Source organism: Homo sapiens, chromosome 1 (assembly GCF_000001405.40).
Source record: "Homo sapiens chromosome 1, GRCh38.p14 Primary Assembly".
NCBI lineage: Eukaryota > Metazoa > Chordata > Mammalia > Primates > Hominidae > Homo > Homo sapiens.
In genome coordinates this window covers 106,923,026-106,934,118 of record NC_000001.11, presented here as the reverse complement: position 1 = coordinate 106,934,118, position 11,093 = coordinate 106,923,026, and positions in this window count along the sequence as shown.

The following is an 11,093-nucleotide window of genomic DNA, read 5'->3' as shown; positions in this document are numbered from 1 at the left end:
TAAAACATGCCAAATTGTAAAGACCATCAAGGCTAGGAAGAAACTGCAACTAACGAGCAAAATAACCAGCTAAAGTCATAATGACAGGATCAAATTCACACATAACAATATTCACCTTAAATGTAAACAGGCTAAATGCTCCAATTAAAAGACACAGACTGGCAAATTGGATAAAGAGTCAAAACCCATCAGTGTGCGGTGTTCAGGAATCCCATCTCATGTGCAGAGACACACATAGGCTCAAAACAAAGGGATGGAGGAAGATCTACCAAGCAAATGGAAAACAAAAAAAGGCAGGGGTTGCAATCCTAGTCTCTGATAAAACAGACTTTAAACCAACAAAGATCAAAAGAGACAAAGAAGGCCATTACATAAGGGTAAAGGGATCAATTCAACAAGAAGAGCGAACTATCTTAAATATATATGCACCCAATACAGGAGCACCCAGATTCATAAAGCAAGTCCTTAGAGACCTACAAAGAGACTTAGACTCCCACACAATAATAATGGGAGACTTTAACACCCCACTGTCAACATTAGACAGATCAACGAGATAGAAAGTTAACAAGGATATCCAGGAATTGAACTCAGCTCTGCACCAAGTGGACCTAATAGACATCTACAGAACTCTCCACCCCAAATCAATGGAATATACATTCTTCTCAGCACCACACCGCACTTACTCCAAAACTGACCACATAGTTGGAAGTAAAGCACTCCTCAGCAAATGTAAAAGAACAGAAATTATAACAAACTGTCTCTCAGACCACAGTGCAATCAAACTAGAACTCAGGATTAAGAAACTCACTCAAAACCGCTCAACGACATGGAAACTGAACAACTTGACCTGAAAGACTACTGGGTACATAATGAAATGAAGGCAGAAATAAAGATGCTGTTTGAAACCAACGAGAACAAAGACACAACATACCAGAATCTCTGGGACACATTCAAAGCAGTGTGTAGAGGGAAATTTATAGCACTAAATGCCCACAAAAGAAAGCCGGAAAGATCTAAAATTGACACCCTAACATCACAATTAAAAGAACTAGAGAAGCAAGAGCAAACACATTCAAAAGCTAGCAGAAGGCAAGAAATAACTAAAATCAGAGCAGAACTGAAGGAGATAGAGAAACACAAAACCCTTCAAAAAATCAATGAATCCAGGAGTTGGTTTTTTGAAAAGATCAACATAATTGATAGATTGCTAGCAAGACTAATAAAGAAGAAAAGAGAGAAGAATCAAATAGACGCAATAAAAAGTGATAAAGGGGATATCACCACCGATCCCACAGAAATACAAGCTACCATCAGAGAATACTATAAACACCTCTATGCAAATAAACTAGAAAATCTAGAAAAAATGGATAAATTCCTTGACACATACACTCTCCCAAGACTAAACCAGGAAGAAGTTGAATCTCTGAATAGACCAATAACAGGCTCTGAAATTGAGGGAATAATTAATAGCTTAGCAACCAAAAAAAGTCCAGGACCAGACGGATTGACAGCCGAATTCTACCAGAGGTACAAAGAGGAGCTGGTACCATTCCTTCTGAAACTATTTCAATCAATAGAAAAAGAGGGAATCCTCCCTAACTCATTTTATGAGGCCAGCATCATCCTGATACCAAAGCCTGGCAGAGACACAACAAAAAAAGAGAATTTTAGACCAATATCCCTGATGAACATCGATGCAAAAATTCTCAACAAAATACTGGCAAACTGAATCCAGCAGCACATCAAAAAGCTTATCCACCATGATCAAGTGGGCTTCATCCCTGGATGCAAGGCTGGTTCAACATACGCAAATCAATAAATGTAATCCAGCATATAAAGAGAACCAATGACAAAAACCATATGATTATCTCAATAGATGCAGAAAAGGCCTTTGACAAAATTCAACAGCCTTTCATGCTAAAAACTCTCAATAAATTAGGTATTGATGGGATGTATCTCAAAACAATAAGAGCTGTTTATGAAAAACCCACAGCCAATATCATACTGAATGGGCAAAAACTGGGAGCATTCCTTTTGAAAACTGGCACAAGACAGGGATGCCCTCTCTCACCACTCCTATTCAACATAGTGTTGGAAGTTCTGGCCAGGGCAATCAGGCAGGAGAAAGAAATAAAGGGTATTCAATTAGGAAAAGAGGAAGTCAAATTGTCCCTGTTTGCAGATGACATGATTGTATATCTAGAAAACCCCATCGTCTCAGCCCGAAATCTCCTTAAGCTGATAAGCAACTTCAGCAAAGTCTCAGGATACAAAATCAATGTACAAAAATCACAAGCATTCTTATATACCAATAACAGACAGAGAGGAAAATCATGAGTGAACTCCCATTCACAATTGCTTCAAAGAGAATGAAATACCTAGGAATCCAACTTACAAGGGATGTGAAGGACCTCTTCAAGGAGAACTACAAACCACTGCTCAATGAAATAAAAGAGGACACAAACAAATGGAAGTACATTCCATACTCATGGATAGGAAGAATCAATGTTGTGAAAATGGCCATACTGCCCAAGGTAATTTATAGATTCAATGCCATCCCCATCAAGCTACCAATGACTTTCTTCACAGAATTGGAAAAAACTACTTTAAAGTTCATATGGAACCAAAAAAGAGCCCGCATCGCCAAGTCAATCCTAAGCCAAAAGAACAAAGCTGGAGGCATCACGCTACCTGACTTCAAACTGTACTACAAGGCTACAGTAACCAAAACAGCATGGTACTGATACCAAAACAGAGATATAGACCAATGGAACAGAACAGAGCCCTCAGAAATAATACCACACATCTACAATTATCTGATCTTTGACAAACCTGACAAAGACAAGAAATGGGGAAAGGATTCCCTATTTAACAAATGGTGCTGGGAAAACTGGCTCGCCATATATAGAAAGCTGAAACTGGATCCCTTCCTTATACCTTATTCAGAAATTAGTTCAAGATGGATTGAAGACTTAAATGTTAGATCTAAAACCATAAAAACCCTAGAAGAAAACCTAGGCAATACCGTTCAGGACATAGGCTTGGGCAAGGACTTCATGTCTAAAACACCAAAAGCAATGGCAACAGAAGCCAAAATTGACAAATGGGATCTAATTAAACTAAAGAGCTTCTGCACAGCAAAAGAAACTACCATCAGAGTGAACAGGCAACCCACAAAATGGGAGAAAATTTTTGCAACCTACTCATCTGACCAAGGGCTAATATCCAGAATCAAAAAAAAAAAAAAACCAACCCCATCAAAAAGTGGGTGAAGGATATGAACAGACACTTCTCAAAAGAAGACATTTATGCAGCCAAAAAACACATGAAAAAACGCTCACCATCACTGGCCGTCAGAGAAATGCAAATCAAAACCACAATGAGATATCATCTCACACCAGTTAGAATGGCAATCATTAAAAAGTCAGGAAACAACAGGTGCTGGAGAGGATGTGGAGAAATTGGAACACTTCTACACTGTTGGTGGGACTGTAAACTGGTTCAACCGTTGTGGAAGACAGTGTGGCGATTCCTCAGGGATCTAGAACTAGAAATACCATTTGACCCAGCCATCCCATTACTGGGTGTATACCCAAAGGATTATAAATCATGTCTCTATAAAGACACATGCACACGTATGTTTATTGCGGCACTATTCACAATAGCAAAGACCTGGAACCAACCCAAATGTCCAACAATGATAGACTGGATTAAGAAAAAGTGGCACATATACACCATGGAATACTATGCAGCCATAAAAAAGGATGAGTTCGTGTCCTTCGTAGGGACGTGGATGAAGCTGGAAACCATCATTCTCAGCAAACTATTGCAAGGACAAAAAACCAAACATCATGTGTTCTCACTCATAGGTGGGAATTGAACAATGAGAACACTTGGTCACAGGAAGGGGGACATCACACACCAGGGCCTGTTGTGGGGTGGGGCTAGGGGGGAGGGATTGCCTTAGGAGATACAGCTAATGTAAATAACGAGTTAATGGCTGCAGCACACCAACATAGCACATGTATACATATGTAACAAACCTGCACGTTGTGCACATATACCCTAGAACTTAAAGTATGATAATAAAAATAAATAAATAAATACATAAATAAAAAAATAAAAAAATAAAAAAATGATAAGTGCTATGATTGGATAAACACTGTGTTATGAAAACATACTATAGGGACATTTGATCAAAAATTGGGGGTATAGGTAGATTAACTGAAAGTTGAAAAGTGGTCAGGCAAATGAGGAGGAAAACAACAGTCGTGCGCATGGAAAGAACAGCACCTTAGGAGACCCGGCAGTAAAGGAGAGGATGGCGGATTTGATGATCTGAATGTATAGCTAAAGCCTGCAACGGGAGAAGATGCTGGAGAGGTGAGCAGAGGCTAAGAGTTACAGGTAATGTTGCATGATCTGACCTTTATTCTTCAAGTTGTGGGAGACCACCGAAAAGTGTTACACAAGGGAGGGATATGATCAGATCTATGTTTTAGAAAACCACTCAGGATCCAGTATAAAGAATAGAATTGTAGACGGTAAAACTGCAGGTAAAGGACTGGTTATGCTGGTACATTCACGAAGTTGAGAGGAGATGGAGGCCTGAATTAGAGTAATTGTTTGGGCATAAAGAAAATTGGGCAGATCAGAGAGATATGAATCAAATAGAGTCAATGGCACTGAAAAATTTGTATCCCTGAGTCTCATGCAGTGCTTAGCGCATAGACAGCACTCAAAACAATGTTTATTGGACACATCTTTCTGAATGTTCAGACAGGTTTTCAAACTCATTGTTTCCATAACTGCATTTATCTTTGCCCATGAAATCTACTCCTCTTATTGACTTTCTTTTACTGGACCTGTCATTAACTCCTTTCTATTCACCCAAGGCTATGAATCATTTATTCCTCATATCCCATGCCTAACACATTACTTTGCACAAATAGGCATAAGTATTCCGTAATTTTTGTTTAAATAAATAACTATTAATTTATTCAAGCTCAAAACTCCAATGTGAGTGAAGCTTACCCAGGCACATTAAATCAGTGGACAGAGTGGAGCCAATCTTGGAACATCTCCTGAATCCATCTCCTCTTTCTGCTAGTACTTTTTTTTTTTTTTTTGGACAAAGGCAATATTTTCTCCTCATATTTCACTCTGTCTCCAAGCTATGTCCTCTTCAATTCATTCTACTATAGCTGCTAGATAAATATTTTCAACAGACAGTTTTTTTCTGTTGTCATAGTTTTCTTCTCAGAATGTTCAGTGACTTCCCTTTGCCACTATAACTTGACCCTTGCAATCCTCCTTGATTTTCATTCTGATTTTTTCTTTATTTCTCTCACTTCCCCACTCACTCCCCATCCCCAGCCAGGCTATTTCAGCCATAATAGCGCTATCATGGTTTGTCAAAATACCATACACTTTGCCACATCTTGACTCATGTTGCTTTTTTTTATGGGAATTCTCTTCATTTTAGATTTTACTTGTCTAAAGTCTACTACACTTCCTTCAAAATTTAGTCCTGATCCCTATCTTCTCCATGGAATCTTTGGGGTCTTTCTCCAGCTAGCAATGACTACTCTATTCTGAGCTCCAAGAGCATGTTAATTTGCACATGTCTTGTGGTACATGTTGCTTTCGTTTAAATGGTTATTTCTACTCATGTCTTACCCCTTTAATACACTGTGAACAAGACATGGATTGTGTGCATCTCATCTTCATGGCCCAGTGACACCTATTGTGCTGCTTTACAAAGATAATACGTCCAATAAACATATTGAATTAATGGATTATAAACAGACATTCAAAATCCATTCCTGGCTAAACAAAAGAACTATTTTGCCATTCTCCCTCTAATTTAATTCTGAATAAAGAGTAAGCTAGTACTTTAAATAAGACAGATATCGGTAGAAAAGCTTTAGCTGTCATGGGGTCTAGGAAAAGGCTACTACTGACATTTAGTAGTGAGGGATGCTAATTGTCCTGAAGCACCCTGAACAGTCCCACCCAATTGAAAAACATGTATAAAGTTTGAATTTTAGTGTATGACAGTCCTGTCCTGGGGCCCTTTTTTTCCCCTTTTGCATTTTGGTCACAAAATTATGCTAACAATTTGATAAAATAAAGGTCATATAACATCTAGGTGAGGAATTGGCACATAATAAGCTTTTACTCAGTGCCAGCTGTTAATGTCAGTAGCTTCTTTGAAAAATGGAGAAAATAACGCCTATCTCATAGTATTATTATGAGGGTTAAATAAATGACAACATATAAAGCTCTTTGAACAACGGCTGGTATATTGTAAATGCTCAATAAATATTGACTATTACTATTATTGGTTTCGCTATTATCAGTATTATTTGCAGATGCTTCGCAGAGAAAGTTTATATTGAATTTGTAGTCAACTAAAAGCCTCAGGACTTTTTCATATGAAAAGCCAAGTCCATTCCTTGGCAAGCCTTACACCTATGAACAAAATAAGCTCAGTCCTTGCTGTGATTTGCTTCTTTTTGAAGGTTTATGGGAAAGTCAAGGAGAAGTCGACTTAATACCTGTGGCCTTTTATCCGTAGCACTGAGAAAATTATATCAAGGTGAAGAGAAATAATAATTTGATTCTGGGTTTTGCATTCAAATGGATCTGGCACCGTGTTGATTTTTATGTAGTGCAGTAGTTACCTTTTCACTCAGCATTTGGTTTTCTGAGGAAAGAAGTGTATGAAGGCAAACATTTTCTTAGGAGCTAATTTTTCCTTCCTTCCTTCCTTCCTTCCTTCCTTCCTTCCTTCCTTCCTTCCTCCCTCCCTCCCTGCCTTCCTTCCTTCCTTCTTTTTCTTTCTTTTTGCACCATGTTCTAGTGGAGCTTTAGGATCTGTCTACCTCTCAGTTTAAAATTAGCTTTCTACTTGCTTTCATGACAATTGTTACCCTAAGTAGCTCACAAAGTACATCCATATATATTACCTAATTTGATTTACACAACAGCCCATGGGTTAAGGATTTTGCTAATGAGGAAATATAGCAAACTTGTGACTCATACAGAGAGTACATGACATTTTGAAGATTCACCTTTGGATTTGCTGGCTCTAAAACCTAAAATTGACAAGTGTACTATTTATTATAATGACAAACAACTTCAAGCAGCCATCCGTTTCAAAGATTCTTAGAATCTGGTTGGTGGGGAGGACAATGAGAGACAAAAGAGAGGAAAGTCCTGCTTTGTGGACTGTTTCCTATGAGTCAGGCATGATGTTAGGCAGTATGAGTTAGTCGTTTCATGTAATCCTCTATATGGAAAGCATAGACAGGGAGAACTAGAAAAGTTAAATAACTTAGCAGGCCCCAAACTGTGCACAACCTGTGTGCAAATTTTTGTAATTTTGTTTAAAGCCCAGAATGCTTCCAGTATTAAAATTGTTCAAAGTGATGGTTGATTTCTCAGTCATCTCACAAGCCCTGCTATCAAATACCATTTTTAACATTGGTTCTGAGGAAGGTGAGTTAGTTATGCCTTCAAACCTATGATATATGGAAGAGGATTTCCCTGTTAGTATTTATAGGGGCACAAGACAGGATGGCCTCAGCCGGAGACATTTGTACCTAATGGTAACTTAAAAAATCTAGTACTGATGAGTCTAGGGCTACATGTTTTCTATCTTCTTTGTTAGAACTTAGAGGAATCAGAATGTTTCTTGAAAAATACATTTTTTTCCCCTTTCATTAACTCTAATTATAATGATCTGGGAAAAGAATTATTATAGACCAAATTTACTCACACTTATTTTCAGCTATTTAAAACACTTACTAACTAGAATTTAAATAAATATTTTAATGGTTCTGATTAAAGCATGAGTAAGAAAACATTTAACTGAGTTATTTCTGCCCAAGTTAGTATAAAAATTTAAGAAACCAAACGTTGTGAGATGAGCAGTCATCAAACATTTTATGCAAACTCTTTGTTTATGTATTTCAGAGCTATAAAATTTTGTATTCAGTAGGTATGCATACTTCCCCATTTCATCACAAACTTACCAATATTTTGTATTTGTGATTATTTTCTAAATAATAAAATTATTCTGTTTTACCTTTCAGTTATATCATTTCTGTATGCCTTGGTTTTTACTCTATTTAAAAAAAATCTAAAGAAAAGAGGAAGTGCATCTGCTATTTGTGGGCAGATGGCATTAGATGAATATTTTAAAAGCAAGTTCTAGAAATCTATCAGAAACTTATACAACAGGTATATGTTTATTATTCAATGCTTTCATGAAAAAATAGATTTTTCAACTCCTGAGGTTATACTGGTGAACATAATTTAAAATAAAACCTGAGAAAAGTAAAAGAGATTAAATAAATATTCACGAAAATGCCCTCTTCAGGAAATAGGGTCATTTGAACAGTCTATTCCATTAAAAATCGCTTTATTTCACCCAAATTGGTTACTACACAAGGAAGGAAGACATAAGAAAACTAAGGGATTGAATCTGAAATCTAGACCAAAGAAATGACTGAACTCTCTCCACTGCATTAACCACATGGAATTTAGCACACAAAAAATCTAGAACTGATCATTTTTTTAACCTGTATACTCAGAGTAATACCAAATATACATTTAAGTTCTATGTCAAAATTTTATTAAAAATTGATATTTATATTAATATATAAATACTGATAAACTAAAAAGTAATTTGAACTCTTATAGCATTTTGGATGATCTAAAATAAGAAATTATCTAAAGGTGACATACTAACAATCACTTATAATGATCATTAAAGTTAGTTCACAAGCCTAATAACAGAATAGACTGTGAAATCCTTAGCATCATTTGATTATTTACAAATATCACTAGAAATTAAGCCAAATGATCTTTACCTAAAATATAAATAAAATGGAAATTTTAACATTTTAAATCAAATACTAATAACCAGACTTACTGATTAGCCATTTTAATGTTTGAAAGTTCAGTCTAAACAATTTATAACTATTACATGGATGATTTCTCAGAAGTTTGCTTATCCTACCACATAATTTCACACTCTGTTTCTCTCTTTCTTTACTCTTTAACTGTTCCTTTTAAGATCCATACATTATCCCAGACCCTTAGGAGCTGTTGAAAAAATTATGGAAAATGCAGGAGGTTGTTCTAGACCAGCAAGTATCAGCATTACCTGAGAGCTTGTTAGAAATACAAATCCCGGACCCCATCCTGGACTTATTAAATCAGAATCCCCGGATAATTCATATGCACAATAAAGCTTGGGAAGCAGTTGTTCTAGGGGGTGCATGAATACTTCAGAAGCTCAATTAGTACCAGATAACTTTCCATTTCCAACCAAGCCTATTCTTGGTCATCTTGAGTTAGAAGTGCTTTGGGATGGAGTCTGGAATGTCCTGTGCTTATTGCCCAGGAGAATGCCCCTGTATTTGAAAATCTGCTGCTCATGCAGTCTCCTAGCTGCTAGAATGAAGGGCTAAGGCATGCAGTCTTGCCCCTTCCCCCAAGAGCCAAGGGAGCAGACAAGATTGAATGAATCATTACAGGAATGCGCTGACCAGGAATACTGCTCTGGTTCTCTCTCCTTCCAGCCACACTGGAGCATTCCTGTCAGGACAGAGGTAGAAAGCTGGAGCTGGGACAGAGTAGTGGGAGTCATTGTTGGGATGCAGGCAGTCACCGGCACATTGGCTGTCAAAACAAAGAAAGAGAAGCCGGGCTATTTTAGTTTCGTTATTCTACGTGACCCCTTATAGTGTTTATTTGTGTTTAAAATTTAGGACAGTGAAACAGAGCACAAACAAGAGTAATATTTTACTCTATGTGTTTGGAAAGTGCAAATATTAATCTATACATTAAATATTTTATGGAATTTGAATAATGTATTCTAAAAATGAAATTTATTCTTTTAAAATTATTAACCATTGTTTTAAAAGTAGAAAATGCTTTAAGTTTTAGGGTACATGTGCACAACGTGCAGGTTAGTTACATATATACACGTATCATGTTGCTGTGCTGCACCCAGTAACTCGTCATTTAACATTAGGTATATCTCCAAATGCTATCCCTCCCCCCTCCCCCCACCCCACAACAGGCCCTCGTGTGTGATGTTCCCCTTCCTGTGTCCATGTGTTCTCATTGTTCAATTCCCACCTATGAGTGAGAACATGTGGTGGTTGGTTTTTTGTCCTTGCGATAGTTTGCTGAGAATGTACCCTAAAACTTAAAGTATAATTAAAAAAAACAACAACAAAAAAACAAAACAACAACAACAAAAAAAGGAAATGGTTTTGGAAGACATTTACAAGAGTTTATTTCCTAGGTCACATTAAAAATGAATATGAAATGAAAAAAATAATAACAATGAAAAATAAAAGTAGAAAATAAATAAAGAAAAATCTTACATTGTGGTAAATTGTGAGATATTTTGATTTTATTGAATATACTTAATAAACATTACAACATTATTATCCGTTACTGCTACAGACTAATAGAAGTATTTTCCCCTTAAAATATTAATTCCTTATTTTTTATGCTGTAATATTTATTTTATTTTTAAAAAAATGTTTTTACTGGTGTAATTTTACATACAGTTCAATAAAAGAAAATTCTCATCTGATTTCTCGATTGGCTATTATCAGTATTCCTTTCATTGCATGATTATAAGTGCTATAATTTTGTCCTGTACAGGATGGGGTATTAACAATTGGCCTACTCTGGTTCAAATACTCTGGGTACATCACTTATTCCAGACATTGATGTCAGAAATGGCTTTGGTACAGTGCTTGGGTTTCTGTTTCTTCCAATTTCCTGAACTTGAATACTAGAATGATCCAGGTTTTACTCAGTGCAGAGCCATCATGGCCCCAGGAAATTATTTTTTATTGGAAGTGTGTCATTTTTTTGCTTTTTCAAACAAGACATTATCTAATTACATCTGAAAAGCAACACAGGACTTAAGAAGAAGATGGGACCTTAAGGGATTCTAAGATTTCACCATGTATTATATTAATTTGCATCCAGCACTTACCATGAAGGTAGGAATGAATTAAATATTTTTTAACCCATATGCTGTTGGCCAAAGACGCATA